The 17,618-nt window shown below is 37.5% G+C and overlaps 1 pseudogene, besides 1 other annotated feature; it reads right to left on the bottom strand.

Moving 5' to 3' along the window:
- Nucleotides 7,218–8,417: an enhancer, noted in NCBI's record as "CDK7 strongly-dependent group 2 enhancer chrX:72701495-72702694 (GRCh37/hg19 assembly coordinates)". NCBI's record gives its function as "activates an origin of replication core promoter dependent on BRD2, BRD4, P300/CBP, MED14 and CDK7 cofactors, with strong dependence on CDK7, by STARR-seq in HCT116 cells {active_cell/tissue: HCT116}" and the evidence as "EXISTENCE:reporter gene assay evidence [ECO:0000049][PMID:35650434]".
- On the bottom strand, nt 15,046–15,540 carry MORF4L1P6 (mortality factor 4 like 1 pseudogene 6; annotated as a pseudogene).

Genomic DNA, 17,618 nt, shown 5'->3' with positions numbered 1-17,618 from the left:
GAAATTCTTCACAGAACTAGAAAAAAAAACTATTTTAAAATTCCTATGGAACCAAAAAAGAGCTCGAATCACCAAGACAATCCTAAGCAAAAAGAACAAGGCAAGAGGCATCACTCTACCTGACTTCAAAATATACTACAGGGCTACAGTATCAAAACAGCATGGTACTGGTACAAGAACAGACATACAGACCAATGGAACAGAATAGAGATCTCAGAAATAAGACTACACACCTACAACCATCTGATCTTTGACAAACCTGACAAAAATAGGCAAGAGGGAAAGGATTTTATATTTAATAAATGCTGCTGGAAGAACTGGCTAGCCATGTGCAGAAAATTGAAACTGTATCCCTTCCTTACATGATATACAAAACTCAACTCAAGATGGATTAAAAACTTAAATATAAAACCCCAAACTGTAAAAACCCTAGAAGAATATCTAGGCAATACCATTAAGGACATAGGCACTTGCAAAGATTTCATGATGAAAACACCAAAGGCAATTGCAACAAAAGCAAAAATTGACAATTAGGATCTAATTAAAGCAAAGAGCTTCAGCACATCAAAAGAAACAATCATCAGCTTGAACAGACAACTTACAGAATGGGAGAAAAGTTTTGCAATCTATTCATCTGATGATGGTCTAATATCCAGAGTCTACAAGAAACTTAAATTCACAACAACAAAATAAACAAACAACCCAATTAAAAAGTGGGCAAAGAACATAAATAGACACTTCTCAAAAGAAGACATATGTGGCCAACAAACATGAAAAAAAGCTCAACATCACTGATCATTAGAGGAATCCAAATCAAAACCACAATGAGATACCATATTATGCCAGTTAGAATAGCTGTTATTAAAAAGGCAAAAAGCAACAGATGCTGGCAAGGTTGTGGAAAAAAAGGAAAGCTTTTACTCTGTCGGTGAGAACATAAATTAGTTCAACCATTGTGGGAGACAGTGTGGCAATTCCTCAAACACCTAGGTGTGGAAACTCCATTTCACCCAGCAATCCCATTACTGGGTATATACCCAAAGGAATATAAATCATTCTATTATAAAGATACATACACACATATGTTCATTGCAGCACTATTCACAAAAGCAAAGACATGGAATCAACCCAAATGCCCATTAATGATAGACTGAATAAAGAAAATGTGGTACATATACACCATAAAATACTATGCAGCCATAAAATGGAACAAGATCATGTCCTTTGCAGGGACATGAATGGAGTTGGAAGCCATTATTTTCAGCAAACTAATGCAAGAACGGAAAACCAAATACTGCATGTTTTCACTTATAAGTGGGATCTGAATGATGAGAACACATGGACGCATGGAAGGGAACAACATACACTGAGACCTGTCAGAGGAGTTGGAGTGAGAAGAGGGAGAGCATTGGAAAGAACAGCTAATGGATGCTAGGCTGGATCCTGGGGGATGGGATCATCTATGCAGCAGTCCATAATGGCATACATTTACCTATGTAAGAAACCTTCATATTCTGCACATGTACCCCTGAACTTAAAAGTTGAAGAAAAAACAAGAAAGAAATGCTTCTAAGTTTTGTATGCTAAGTTTGCATCCTGTAACTTTACTGGGTTTGTTTATTAGTTCTAATGTCTATTTTTTGGTGGAATCTTTAGTATTTTTTACATATAAGATTATGTCCTCTGTGAACAGGGATGGTTTGACTTCCTCCTTTTCAATTTGAATGCCTGTTATTTCTCTCTCATGCCTAAGTGCTCTGGCTAATGCTTCCAGTGCTGTCTTGAATAGAAATAGCGAAAATGGGCATTCTTGTTTTGTTGCTAATTTCTAGAGAAAATATTTTCAGTTGCTCCCCATTCAGTATTAAGTTCACTGTGAGTTTGTCATCTATGGCCTTTATTGTGTTTATGTACAATCCTTCTACATGAAATTTTTTGAGTTCTTATCATGAAGGGATGATGATTTTGTAAAATGCATTTTTGTGTCTACTGAAATAATCATATAATTTTTGTTTGTCTGTTAATGTGTTGTATCACATTTATTTATTTGCATGTCATAAACTATCCTTATATCTCTGGGAAAAATTTGAACTGATCATAGTAAATTATCATTTGAACTATTGATACTATTTGCTAATATCTTGATGATAATTTTTGCAACTATTTTCATCAGAAATACTGGCCTGGAATATTTATTTTTGTTGTTTCCTTGAATGGTTGTGGAATCAGGGTAATGCCGGACTTGTAACATGGGTTAGGAAGGAATCAATCATCAATCTTCTTCAATTTTTTGTAAAAGTTTGTGGAAAATTTGTATTAGTACCTTTTAAAATATTTGCTGGAATTCAACAGTGAAACTGTCAGGTCCTGGGCTCTTCCTTGATGTAAAACATTTTAAAAAATATAATTTCAACTTTTCTTTTACATATGAGGGTATATGTGATGATTAGTAACATGGGTATATTGTGTGATGCTAAAGATTGAAGCATGGGTCCTGTAATCCAGGGAGTGAGCATAGTACCGAATAGGTAGTTTTTCTTTTTTTTCTCTCTCTTTTTTTATTCTTAAAAAAAATGAGATATATATGCAGAATGTGCAGGTTTGTTTCATAGGTATACATGTGCCATGGTGGTTTGCTGCACCTATTGACCCATCCTCTAAATTCCCTCCCCTCACCCCTCACCCCCAACTGTCCCTGGTGTGTTATTACCCTCCCTGTGCCCATGTGTTCTCAATGTTCAACTCCCACTTATGAGTGAGAACATGGGGTGTTTGGTTTTCTGTTCCTGTGTTAGTTTGCTGAAGATGATGGCTTTCAGCTTCATCCATGTCCCTGCAAAGGACATGATCCAATTTTTTTTATGGCTGCATAGTGGTCCATGGTATATGTGTACTACATTTTCTTCATTCTATTATTGATAAGCATTTCGGTTGGTTTCATGTCTTTTCTATTGTAAATAGTGCTGCAATAAACATACGTGTGCATGTGTCTTCATAGTAGAATGATTTATATTCTCTTGAGTATATACCCAGTAATGGGATTGCTGGGTCAAATGGTATTTCTGGTTCCAGATCCTTGAGGAATCGCCACACTGTCTTCCACAATGGTTGAACTAATTTACATTCCCACCAACAGTGTAAAAGCATTCTTCTTTCTCTGCAGCCTCCCCAGCATCTATTGTTTCCTGACTTTTTAATAGTTGCCATTCTCACGGGCATGAGGTGGTATCTCATTGTTGTTTTGATTTTCATTTCTCTGATGATCAGTGATGTTGAGCTTTGTTTGTTTGTTTTTTCTTGGAAATTTGTTGAAGTTCGTTGTAGATTCTGGATATTAGACCTTTGTCAGATGGATAGATTGCAAACATTTTCTTCCATTCTGCAGGTTGCCTGTTCACTCTGATAATACTTTCTTTTGCTGTGCAGAAGCTCTTTAGTTTAAGTAGATCCCATTTGTCAATTTTGGCTTTTGATGCCATTGTTTTTGGTGTTTTAGTCATGAAGACTTTGCCCATGCCTATGTCCTGAATGGTAGTGCCTAGGTTTTCTTCTAGGGTTTTTACGGTTTTGGGTTTTACTTTTAAGTCTTTAATCCATCTTGAGTTAAGTTTTGTATAAGGTGTGAGGAAGAGGTCCAGTTTTAGTTTTCTGCATATGGCTAGAATGTTTTCCCAGCACCATTTATGGGATAGGAGATCCTTTTCCCATTGCTTGTTTTTGTCAGATTTGTCAAAGATCATATGGCTGTAGATTTGTGGTGTGATTTCTGAGGTCTCTGTTCTGCTCCACTGGTCTACATGTCTGTTTTGTTACCAGTACCATGCTGGAGTTTGTTTTTTTTTTTAACTGTAGTCTTGTAGTATATTCTGGAGTCAGGTAGCATGATGCTTCCAGCTTTGTTCTTTTTGCTTAGGATTGTCTTGGCTATACAGGGTCTTCTTCGATTCTATATGAAACTTAAAATAGTTTTTTTCTAATTCTGTGAAGAGTGTCAATAGTAGTTTGATGGAAATAGCATTGAATCCATAAATTACTTTGGGCAGTACGTCCATTTTCATGATATTGATTCTTGCTATCCATGAAGATGGAATGTTTTTCCATTTTTTGTGTCCTCTCTTATGTCCTTGAACAGTGGTTTGTAGTTCTCCTTCAAAAGGTCATTCCCATTCCTTGTGAGCTGTATTTCTAGGTATTTTATTCTATTTGTAGCAATTGTGAATGGGAGTTCATTCATGGAGTTCATTCTCTGCTTGCCTATTGTTGGTGTATAGGAATGCTTGTGATTTTTGCACATTGATTTTGTATCCTGAGACTTTGCTGGAGTTGCTTATCAGTTCAAAAAGTTTTAGGGGCTGGGCATGTTGGTTCATGCCTGAAACTGCAGCACTTTGAAAGGCAAAGGTAGGCAGATCACCTGAGGTCAGGAGTTCAAAACTAGCCTGACCAACATGGTGAAACTCCGTCTCCACTAAAAGAAATACAAAAAAATTAGCCAGGTGTGGTTGTGCACATCTGTAGTCCCAGCCACTCAGGAGGCTGAGGCAAGGGAATCACTTGAACCTGGGAGATGGAGGCTGCAGTTAGCCTCCATGTGATCTCAGTTAGCTGAGATCACACCACTGCACTGCAGCCTGGGTGACAGAAGGAGTCTGTCTCAAAAAAAAAAAAAAAAAAAAAAAAAAGAAAAGTTTTTGGGCCGAGATGATGGGGTTTTCTAAATATAAAATTATGTCATCTGCAAACAGAGACTGTTTGACTTCCCCTCTTCCTATTTGAAGGCCTTTTATTTTTTTCTCTTGTCTGATTGCCCTGGCCAGAACTTCCAATACTATGTTGAATAGAAGTGGTGAGAGAGGACATACTTGTCTTGTACCGGTTTTCAAAGGGAATGCTTCCAGCTTTTGCCCATTCAGTATATTGGCTGTGAGTTTTTCATAAATAGCTCTTATTATTTTGAGATATGTTCCATCAATACCTAGTTTGTTGAGAGTTTTTGACATGAAGGGATGTTGCATTTTATCAAAGGCCTTTTCTGCATCTATTGAGACAATCATGTGGTTTTTGTCTATGTTTCTGTTCATGTGATGGATTACATTTATTGATTTGCATATGTTGAACAAGCCTTCCATCCCAGGGATGAAGACAACTTGATCGTGATGGATCAATTTTTTTGATGAGCTACTTAATTCGGTTTCCCAGTATTTTATTGAGGATTTTTGCGTCGATCTTCATTGGGGATATTGGCCTGAAGTTTTCTTTTTTTTGTTGTTGTGTCTCTGACATGTTTTGTTATCAGGATGATGCTGCCTTCATAAAATGAGTTAGGAAGGAGTCCCTCTTTTTAAGTTGTTTGGAATAGCTTTAGAAGGAATGATACCAGCTCCTTTTGTACCTCTGCTAGAATTTGGGTGTGAATCCATCTGGTTCTGGTCTTTTTTGGGTTGGTAGGCTATTAATTACTGCCTCAATTTCAGAACTTGTTATTGGTATATTCAGGGATTCAATTTCTTTCCAGTTTAGTCCTGGTAGGGTGAATGCATCCAGGAATTTTTCCATTTTTTCTAGATTTTCTAGTTTATTTGTGTAGAGGTGTTTATAGTATTCTCTGATGTTAGTTTGTATTTCTGTGGGGTCAATGGTGATATCCCCTGTATCATTTTTTTATTGTGTCTATTTGGTTCTTCTCTCTTTTTAATTTCGTTATTTTTAATTAGTCTGACTAGCGGTCTATCTATTTTGTAAATCTTTTCAAAAAACAGCTCCTGGATTCAAGTTTTTTGGAGAGTTTTTCATGTCTATATCTCATTCAGTTCTTCTCTGATGTTGGTTATTTCTTGTCTTCTGCTAGCTTTTGGATTTGTTTGCTCTTGCTTCTCTAGCTCTTTTAATTGTGATGTTAGGGAGTTGATTTGAGATATTTCTAACTTACTGATGTGGACATTTAGTGCTATAAATTTCTGTCTTAACACTGCTTTAGCTGTATACCAGAGATTTTGGTATGTTGTCTCTTTGTTCTCATTGGTTTCAAAAAACTACTTGGTTTCTGCCTTAATTTCATTATTTACCCAGGAGTTATTCAGGAGCAGGTTGTTCAATTTCCATGAAATTGTGTGGTTTTGAGTGAGTTTCTTAACCTGAGTTCTAATTTGATTGCACTGTGGTCTGAGAAACTGTTATGATTTCAGTTCTTTTGCATTTGCTGAGAAGTGTTTTACTTTCATTTATGTGGCCAATTTTAGAATAAGTGCCATGTGACACTGAGAAGAATGTATATGCTGTTGGTTTGGAGTAAAGAGTTCTGTAGATGTCTACTAGGTCTGCTTGATCCAGAGCTGAGTTCAGGTCCTGAATATCCTTGTTAATTTTCTGTCTCACTGATTGGTCTAATACTGACAGTGGAGTGTAAAAATCTCTTACTATTATTGTGTGGGAGTCTATGTCTTTTTGTAGGTCTCTAAGAACTTGTTTTCTGAATCTGGGTGCTCCTGTATTGGGTGCATATATATTCAGAATAGTTCATTCTTCTTGTTGAATTGTTCCCTTACCATTATGTAATGCCCTACTTTGTCTTCTTTGATCTTTGTTGGTTTAAAGTCTGTTTTGTCAGAGACTAGGATTGCAATCCCTGCTTTTTTTTCCTTTGCATTTGCTTGGTAAATTTTCCTCCTTTTATTTTGAGCCTGTGTGTGTGTCTTTGCATGTAAGATGGGTCTCCTGAATACAGCACACCACTGGGTCTTGACTCCTTATCCAATTTGCCAGTCTGTGTCTTTTACCTGAGACATTTAAGGTTAGTACTGTTATATGTAAATTTGATCCTGTCTTCATGATGTCATTTGGTTATTTTGTGCACTAGTTGATGCAGTTTTTATGTAGTGTCATTAATCTTTATAATTTGGTGTGTTTTTGTAGTGTCTGGTACCAGTTTCTCCTTTCCATAGTCAGTGCTTGTTTCAGGAGTTCTAGCAGGGAAAGCCTGGTGGTAGCAAAATTTCTCAGAATTTGCTTGTCTGGAAAGGATTTTATTTCTCCTTCACTTAGGAAACTTACTTTGGCTGGATATGAAATTCTGGGTTGAAAATTCTTTTCTTTAAGAATGTTGAATATTGGCCTCCAATCTCTTCTGGCTTGTAGAGTTTCTGCTGAGAAGTTCACTGTTAGTCTGATGGGCTTCCCTTTGTAGGTGACCTGGCCCTTCTCTGTGGCTCCCCTTAACATTTTTTCCTTCATTTTGACCTTGGAGAATCTGATGATTATGTGTCCTGGGTTTGATCTTCTCATGGAGTATCTTAAGGGTGTTCTCTGTATTTCCTGAATTTACATGTTGGTCTGTCTTACTAGGTTGGGGAAGTTCTCCTGGATAATATCCCTAAGGGTGTTTTCCAGCTTGTTTCCATTCTCCCCATCTCCTTCTGGCACTCCAATCAATTGTAGGTTCGAGTGGAGGGGCCAAGATGACCGAATAGGAGCAGCTCCAGTCTGCAGTTCCCAGTGAGACCTATGCAGAAGGTGGGTGATTTCTGCATTTCCAACTGAGGTATCCAGTTCATCTTACTGGGGCTGGTTAGGCAGTGGCTCCAACCTGTGAAGGGTGAGCAGAAGAAGGGTGGGGGTCACTTCACCCAGGAAGTACAAGGGGCTGAGGATCTCCCTCCCACCAGCCAAGGGAAGCCATGAGGAACTGTGCTTATTTTTTATTTTTTGTACCCCAGAAGTGCCTGGAACCACAGTGAGACAGAACTGTCCACTCCCCTGGAAAGGGGTCTGAAACCAGGGAGCCAAGTGATCTCACTCGGTGGGTCCCACTCCCACAGAGCCCAGTAAGCAAAGAAACACTGGCTTGAAATTCTCGCTGCCAACCCAGCAGTCTGAAGTCAACCTGGGAGAGTCCAGCGTGGTGTGGGGAAGGGTGTCCGCCATTACTGAGGCTTTAGTAGGCGGTTTTCCCCTGACAGTGCTAAGGAGGCTGGGAGGTCTGGGCTGGGTGTGACAAAGCAACTGTGGCCAGACTACTTCTCTAGATTTCTCTTGACTGGGCAGGGCATCTCTGAAGGAAAGATAACAGTCCCAGTCAGCAGCTTACAGACAAAACCCCCATTTCCCTGGGACATGGCACATGGGGTAAGGGGCAGCTGTGGGTGCAGCTTCAGTGGATTTAATCATTCCTGCTTGCCAGCTCTGAAGAGAGCAGCTGATTCTGACAAAAGACATTCTCCCAGCAAACTGCACCAGCTCTGCTAAGGGAAAGACTGCCTCCTCAGGTGAGTGCCTGACTCCTGAGCCTCCTGACTGGGAGAAACCTCTCAACAGGGCTGACAGATACCTCATACAGGAGAGCTCCGGCTGGCATAAGGCCAGTGCCCCTCTGGGGTGAAGCTTCCAGAGGAAGGAGCAGGCAGCAATCTTTATTGTTCTGCAGCCTCCACCGGTAATACCCATGTGAACAGGATCTGGAGTGGACCTCCAGCAAACCACAGCAGACCTGCAGAAGAGGGGCCTGACTGTTAGAAAAAAAACTAACAAACAGAAAGCAACAACATCAACATCAACATAAAAGACGCCCCCCGCCACCCCACAAACCCCATTCAAAGGTCATCAGCCTCAAAGGACAAAGGTAGATAAATCCACGAAGATGAGAAAAAATGAGTGGGAAAAGGCTGAAAATTCCAAAAACCAGAATGCCTCATCTCCTCCAAATGATTGCAACTCCTCTCCAGCAAACGCACAAAACTGGATGGAGAATGAGATTGACGAGTTGGCAGAAGTAGGCTTCAGCAGTTTGTAATAACAAACTCCTCTGAGCTAAAGGAGTGTGTTCTAACCGAATGCAAGGAAACTAAAAACCTTAATAAAAGGTTACAGGAAATGCTAACTAGAATAACCAGTTTAGAGAGGAACATAAATGACCTGATGGAGATGAAAAACACAGCATGAGAACTTCGTGAAGCATATACAAGTATCAATAGCCAAATCAATCAAGCAGAAGAAAGGATATCAGAGATTGAAGATCAACTTACTGAAATAAGTCATGAAGACAAGATTAGAGAAAAAAGAATGAAAAGGAGCAAACAAAGCCTCCAAGAAATATGGGACTGTGTGAAAAAGCCAAACCTATGATTGATTGGTGTACCTGAAAGTCACAGGAAGAATGGAATCAAGTTGGAAAACACACTTCAGGATATTATCCAGGAGAAATTCCCCAACCTACCAAGACAGGCCAACATTCAAATTCAGGAAATACAGAGAACACCATAAAGATACTCCACAAGAAGAGCATCCCCAAGAAACATAATTGCCAGATTCTCCAGGGTTGAAATGAAGGAAAGAATGTTAAGGGCAGCAAGAGAGAAAGGTCAAGTTACCTACAAAGGGAAGCCCATCAGACAAACAGCGGATCTCTCAGTAGAAACTCTACAAGCCAGAAGAGAGTGGGGGCCAATATTAAACATTCTTAAAGAAAATAATTTTAAACCCAGAATTTCATGTCTGGCCAAACTAAGCTTCATAAGTGAAGGATAAACAAAATCCTTTCCAGAGAAGCAAATGCTGAGTGATATTGTCAACACCAGGCCTGCCTTACAAGATCTCCTGAAGGAAGCACTAAATATGGATAGAAAAACTGGTACCAGCCAAAACACACAAAAACACACAAAAATATAAACAGCAATGACACCATGAAGATACTGTATCAACTAATGTGAAAAATAACCAGCTAGCATCATAATGACAGGATAAAATTCACACATAAGAGTATTAACCTTAAATGTAAATGGGCTATAGGCCCCAATTCAAAGACACAGACAGGCAAATTGGTTGAAGAGTCAAGATCCATCCGTATGTTATGTATTCAGGAGACCCATCTCACGTGCAAAGATACACATGGGCTCAAAATAAAGGGATAGAGGAATATTTAGCAAGCAAATGGAAAGTAAAAAACAGAAAAAAAAGCAGGGGTTGCAAACCTAGACTTGGATCAAACAAACTTTAAGCCAACAAAGATCAGAAAAGACAAAGAAGGGCATTATATAATGGTAAAGAGATCAATGCCACAAAAAGAGCTAACTATCCTAAATATATATTCACCCAATACAACAGCACCCAGATTCATAAAACAAGTTGTTAGAGACCTACATAGAGAATCAGACTCCCAAACAATAATAGTGGAAGACTTTAACACCTCACTGCAATATTAGACAGATAAATGAGACAGAAAATTAAGAATATTCAGGACTTGAACTCAGCTTTATACCAAGCAGACCTAAAAGAAGTCTACAAAACTCTCCACCCCAAATCAACAGAATATACATTCTTTTCAGAGTGACATAGCACTTGTTCTAAAATTGACCACAAAATTGGAAGTAAAACACTCCTCAGCAAACGCAAAAGACCTGAAATCATAATAGTCTCTCAGACCACAGTGCAATCAAATTAGAACTCAGGATTAAGAAACTCACTCAAAACTGCACGACTACATGGAACTTGAAAAACCTGCTCCTGAATGAGTACTGGGTAAATAACGAAATTAAAGCAGAAATCAAGAAGTTCTTTGGAACCAATGAGAACAAAGAGACAACGTACCAGAATCTCTGGGACACAGCTAAAGCAGTATTTAGAGGAAAATTTATAGCACTAAATGCCCACAACAGAAAGCTGGAAAGATCTAAAATAGACACTGTAACATCACAATTAAAAAACTAGAGAAACAAGAGCAAACAAATTCAAAAGCTAGCAGAACACAAGAAATAACTAAGAGTAGAGCAGAACTGAAGGTGATAGAGACACAAAAAACCCTTCAAAAAATTAATAAACCCAGGAGCTGGTAGTTTGAAAAGACTAACAAAATAGATGGACCACTAGCTAGACTAATGAAGAATAAAGGAGAGAAGAATCAAGTAAACACAATAAAAAATGATAAAGGGGATATCATCTTTGATCCCACAGAAATATAAACTATCATCAGAGAATACTACCAACACCTCTATGCAAATAAACTAGAAAATCTAGAAAAAAATGGATTAATTCCGGTACACATACACCCTCCCAAGACTAAACCAGGAAGAACTCGAATCCCTGAATAGACCGATAACGAGTTCTGAAATCAAGGCAGTAATTAATAGCCTACCAACAAAAAAAGCCCAGGACCAGATGGAATCACATCCAAATTCTACCAGAGGTACAAAGAGGAGCTGGTACCATTCCTTCTGAAACTCTTCCAAACAATAGAAAATAAGAGACTCCTTCCTAATTCATTTTATGAGGCCAGCATCATCCTGATACCAAAATCTGGCAGAGACACAACACCACCAAAAATTTCAGGCCAATATTCCTGATGAACACCAATGCAAAAATCCTCAATAAAATACTGGCAAACCAAATCCAGCAGCACATCAAAAAGCTTATTCACCATGATCAAGTCGGCTTCATCCCTGCGATGCAAGGCTGGTTCAACATATACAAATCAATAAACATAATCCATCACATAAACAGAACCAATGACAAAAACCACATGATTATCTCAATAGATACAGAAAAGAACTTCAATAAAATTCAGCATCCCTTCATGTTAAAAAAATCTCAATATACTATGTATTGATGGAACGTATCTCAAAATAATAAGAGCCATTTATGGCAAACCCATAGCCAATATCATATTGAATGGTGAAAAGCTGGAAGCATTTCCTTTGAAAACTGGCACAAGACAAGGATGCCCTCTCTCACCACTCCTATTCAACATATTGTTGGAAGTTCTGGCCAGGGCAATCAGGCAAGAAAAAGAAATAAAGGACCTTCAAATAGAAAAAGAGAAAGTCAAATTGTCTCTGTTTGCCGATGACATGATTCCATATTTAGAATACCCCACCGTCTCAGCCCCACAACTCCTTAAGCTGATAAGCAACTTCAGAAGAGTCTTAGGATGCAAAATCAGTGTGTGAAAATAGCAAGCATTCCTATACACTAATAATAGACATGCAGAGAGCCAAATCATGAGTGAACGCCCATTCACAATTGCTACAAAAAGAATAAAATACCTAGGAATACAACTTACAAGGGACATGAGGGACCTCGTCAAGAACTACAAACCACTGCTCAAGGATATAAGAGAGGACACAAAGAAATGGAAAAAAAATCCCATGTTCATGGATAGAGAGAATCACTATCTTGAAAATGACCATACTGCCAAAGTCATTTATAGATTCAATGCTATTCCCATCAAGCTAGCACTGACTTTCTTCACAGAATTAGAAAAAAACACTATAAATTTTGCATGGAAACCAAAAAGAGCCCGTATAGCTAGACAATCCTAAAGAAAAAGAACAAAGCTGGAGGCATCGGGCTACCTGACTTCAAACTATACTACAAGGCTGCAGTAACCAAAACAGTATCTGCTTGGTACCAGTACCAAAACAGTATCTGCTTGGTACCGGTACCAAAACAGTATCTGTTTGGTACCGGTACCAAAACAGATATATAGACTAATGGAACAGATCAGAGACCTCAGAAATAACACCATATAGCTACAACCATCTGATCTTTGGCAAACCTGACAAAAACAAGCAATGGGGAAAGGCTTCCTTATTTAATAAATGGTGCTGGGAAAACTGGCTAGCCATATACAGAAAACAGAAACTGGCCCCTCTTTTACACCTTATACAAAAATTAAGTCAAGATGGATTAGGGACTTAAATGTCAAATCCAAAACCATAAAAACCCTAGAAGAAAACCTAAGCAATAGCATTCAGGACACATGCATGGGCAAAGACTTCATAACTAAAAACCAAAAGCAATTGCAACAAAAGCCAAAATAGACAAATGGGATCTAATTGAACTAAAGTGCTTCTGCACAGCAAAAGAAACTATCATCAGAGTGAATAGGAAACCCACAGAATGGGAGAAAATTTTTGCAATCTACCCATCTGACAAAGGTCTAAATTCAGAATTTATAAGGAACTTAAACAAATTTATAAGAATAAAACAAACAACTCCATCAAAAAGTAGGCAAAGAATATGAACAGACACTTCTCAAAAGAAGACATTTATGCAGCCAACAAATATATGAAAAAAAGCTCATCATCACTAGTCATTAGAGAAATGCAAATTAAAACCACAATGAGATACCATCTCATGACTGTCAGAATGGCAATTATGAAAAAGTCAGGAAACAATAGATGCTGGCAAGGCTGTGGAGAAATAGGAATGCTTTTACACCATTGGTGGGAATGTAAATTAGTTCAACCATTGTGGAAGACAGTGTGGCAATTCCTCAAGCATCTAGTACCAGAAATACCATTTGACCAAGCAATCCCATTACTGGGTATATACCCAAAGGATTACAAATTATTCTACTATAAAAACACATGCACACATATGTTTACTGCAGCACTGTTTACAATAGCAAAGACTTGGAAGCAACCCTAATGCCCATCAATGCTAGACTGGATAAAGAAAATGTGGCACATATACACCATGAAATACTATGCAGCCACAAAAAGGTTGAGTTCATTTGGTTTGCAGGGACATGGATGAAGCTGGAAGCCATCATTCTCAGCAAACTAACACAGGAACAGAAAACCAAACACTGCATGTTCTCACTCATAATTGGGAGTTGAACAATGAGAACATATGGACACAGGGAGAGGAAAAACACACACCGGGGCCTGTCAGGGGGTGAGTCAAGGGAAGGGAAAGAATAGGACAAATACCTAACCCGGGGGGTGAGGTCAAGGGAAGGGAGCATTAGGACAAATACCTAATGTATGCGGGGCTTGAAACCTAAATGACGTGTTGATAGGTGCAGGAAACCACCATGGCACATGTATATCTATGTAACAAACCTGCATGTTTTACACATGTGTCCCAGAACTTAAAGTAAAATTAAAGAAAAAAAAAAAAGACCTGGAACCAGAAGCCGACTTTAAACACTAGAGAAGTTTAATTACTTCTAAATTCCCCAGATAAAGAGTTTTGCCTCTGGATGGCCTTTTTGATGGTCACCAAGGGATCTTTGCTCCCTTCATTATACTTCCACATTTCTCAGATAAGGCGATTTGTCTATGGGGCTTGCTTGATAGTCACCAGGTGATTTTTGTTCTTAGTTACCTTGAAGATTACAATTAATATCCTAAATTTCTAACAATTGAATTTGAATTATTATCAACCTAGCTTCAATGACATATAAAAACTCTGCTCCTGTAAATCTCTGCCCCCTCCTTATGTTATTGTCACAGATTATGTATTTAAACATTTTGTGCCCATTAATATAGGTCTATAGTTGTTTTATATACCTTTAAATTATGTAGGTAATAAGAAGAAAAGTTACAATTCAAAGGTACAGTACTGCCTTTTATATTTACTTGTGTTGTTACTTTTATCAGTTTTTTTCTTTAAAATATGGTTTTAACTTATCGTTTAATGTCCTTTTATTTGAGCTTCAGGAACTCATTTTAATTTTTTTTTTGTATGGCAGTCCTACTAGTGATGAACTTTCTCACATTTTGTTTATCTGGGAAAGTCTTAATTTCTTTTTTTTTTTAAGATAATTTTGTTGAATATTTTCTTTTCTTGACAGTTTTTTCTTTTCCTTTTTGAAATTTAAAGAAAAAGTTTATTGACAATCTGAAAGACAATTTCTAAAAGATTTACTTTTCCAGAAGCTGTAGCTATACAATGCAGTGTTTATTATGTTAAAATGTGCATGAGACACAAATACAAAAACCATAAAACAAGCCACAATTCTTCAAAAATCTGACCAAAGATAAAAAGCCTAAGGAACAACATGGATGACTTGAAAAAGATGAGCTCTTTACTTTAGGCTCCATATAAAAAGAAGTACAAATGAATGAGTGTGTTAGTTATTAAACTGAATTGAATCTTTGAATCTAAGACTTAGATCATTGTGTCATATAACATTAGCATGGTATAAAAGCGCATAATATTAAAGTTATAGAATCACTGACACTCAAAAGGAGCTTTGTCAACTAAGCAATTAAACACTTTACAGCATGCCGCTCAATTGTCCATTATTTAATACACAGGTAGCAACTTTATAACAAAAATGGTAAGAAAACACAACAGGAGTTATACGCTTTTTTATTTTCTCTGTTTAAAATCAAAGAGAAAACAATAATCAATTCTGCCATACCCTATCTTCAAGGTATGTCATTCAAAAAAGAGAAGAACTGAAAACAAAAATATCTTTACAGATATCCAACTATATAGAGAGTGTTATCACCTCTCACACAGGTTTTGATGATACTCAGGAGCAGTCACTTCATAATACAGGAGTCACTGTAAGCAAAATTGCAGAATATTTTTCTGGGTTTTTTAGGAATTATCATAAAGATTCAGTAAGTAATTAAGCAAGATTTTTCTCATCCAGGGTGTATAACCCAAAATTCCTCCCATTTATACAAATGATCTCTCTAGCTGTGGTGCTCCATACACCTGGGACATGGGGGTACCAGGGTGATCTCCTAGGATTTCAGCATACTGTGGTCTCTCAAATTTGTAGAGTAGCGGATTGACAAACATTGCATTGAGGTACATGAATACCTTGTTTTATTGCACTTTGCATTACTGCATTTCTCAGATATTGCATTTTTTTATAAATGGACAGTTTCTGGTAACTGCATTGAGCAAATCTGGTATCATTTGCCAACACCGTGTCCTCACTTTGTGTCTGTGTTATATTTTGGTAATTCTTGCAATATTTCAAACTTTTTAATCATTATTATATGTGTTCTAGTGATCTGTGATTAATGATCTTTGATATTACCATTGTAATTGTTTGGAGGCACACAAACTGCACCCATAAATGATGGAAAACTTAATCAATAATGTTGTGTGTATTCTGACTGCTCCACTAATGGGCTGTTTCTCCATCACTCTCACTCTCCTCAGGTCTCCTTATTCTGTGAGACACAATGTTGAAATCAGGCCAATTAACAACCCTGTAATGGCCTCTAAGTGTTCAAGTGAACAGAAGAGTCACATTTCTCTCATTTTAAATCAAAACCTAGAAATGATTAAGTTTAGTGAAGAGACATGTAGAAATCCAAGAGAGGATGAAAGCTAGGCCTCTTGCACCCAAAAGCCAAATTGTAAATGCAAAAAAAGTGTTTTTGAAGGAAATTAAAAGTGTGATTCCAGTGAATTTATAAGTGACAAGAAAGTTGAACATCCTTATTAGTGATATCTAGAGAGTTTTAGTAGTCATAATAGAATAGTAAACCAGCCATGACATACCCTCTAGCCAAGGCCTAATCCAGAGCAAGGCCCTAACTGTATTCAATTCTATGAAGGCTGAGAGAGATGAGAAAGTTGCAGAAAAAAGTTTACAGCTAGAAAAAGTTGGTTCATGAGGTTTAAGGAAAAAAGTGGTCTTCATAATATAAAACTACATGGTGAAGCAAGAAGTGCTGATGTAGAAGCTGCAGCAAGTTATCTGGAAGATTTAGTTTAAAAAGCTGATGAAGGTAGCTATACTACAAAGATTTTCAATATAGATAAAACAGCCTTATATTAGAAGAATATAATATATGGAACTTTCATAACTAGAGTGGAGAGGTCAATGCCTGGCTTTAAAATTTCCAATGACAGGCTGACTATTAGGGGCTAATGCAGCTGGTGAATTTAAGTTGAAGCCAATGCTCATTTGAAATTTTAAAAAGTCCTAGGGACCTTAAGAATTTGCTAAATCTACTCTGCTTGTGCCCTAGAACAACCAACCCCAGATGACAGCACATCTGTTTACAGCATGCTTAACTGAATATTTTAAGCTCACTGTCAAGACCTACAGCTCATAAAAAAATTTATTTCAATATATTATTGTTCAGTGACAATGCACCTGGTTACCCAAGAGCTCTAATGGAGATGAACAAGGAGAGTAATGTTGTTTTCATGTCTGCTAACACAATATCCATTCTGCAGCCCATGGATTAAGGAGTTATTTTGACTTTAAATGTAAATCTTGTTATTTAAGAAATACATTTCATAAGGCTATAGCTGCCACAGATTGTAATTCCTTTGATCAATCTGTACAAAGTACTTTGAAAACCATCTGGAAGGATTCATAATTCCAGATGTGACTAAACATTTGTGATTCATGGGAGGAGATTAAAATATTAACATTAAGCTTGGAAAAAGTTGATTCCAATCCTCCTAGATAATTTTGAGGGGTTCAAGTCTTCAGTGGAGAAAGTAACTGCAAATGTGATGAAAATAGCAAGATAGGATTAGAAGAGGTACCTGAAGATGTGACTGAATTTCTGCAACAATATGATAAAACTTGTATGGATGAGAGATTGCTTTCTATGTATGAGCAAAGTAAGTCATTTATTGAGATGGAATCTACTCCTGGTGAAGATACTGTAAATTATTGACATGAAAACAAAGGATTTTAATTATTAGATAAATTTAGTTAATAAAGTAGTGGTGGGATTTGAGAAGATTGACTCCAGTTTTGAAAGAAGTTCTAATGGGTAAAATGCTATCCAACAACATTACATACTGCAGAGAAATCTTTTATAAAAGAAAGAATCAATGTGGCAAACCTCATTATTGTCTTATTTTAAGAAACTACCACGGCCACTCCAACCTTCAGCAACCACCTCCCTGATCAG

This window comes from Homo sapiens, chromosome X (genome assembly GCF_000001405.40).
Source record: "Homo sapiens chromosome X, GRCh38.p14 Primary Assembly".
Lineage (NCBI taxonomy): Eukaryota > Metazoa > Chordata > Mammalia > Primates > Hominidae > Homo > Homo sapiens.
Note: the sequence above shows the minus strand (reverse complement) of the source record. Positions and strands in the feature narration are given on the sequence as shown.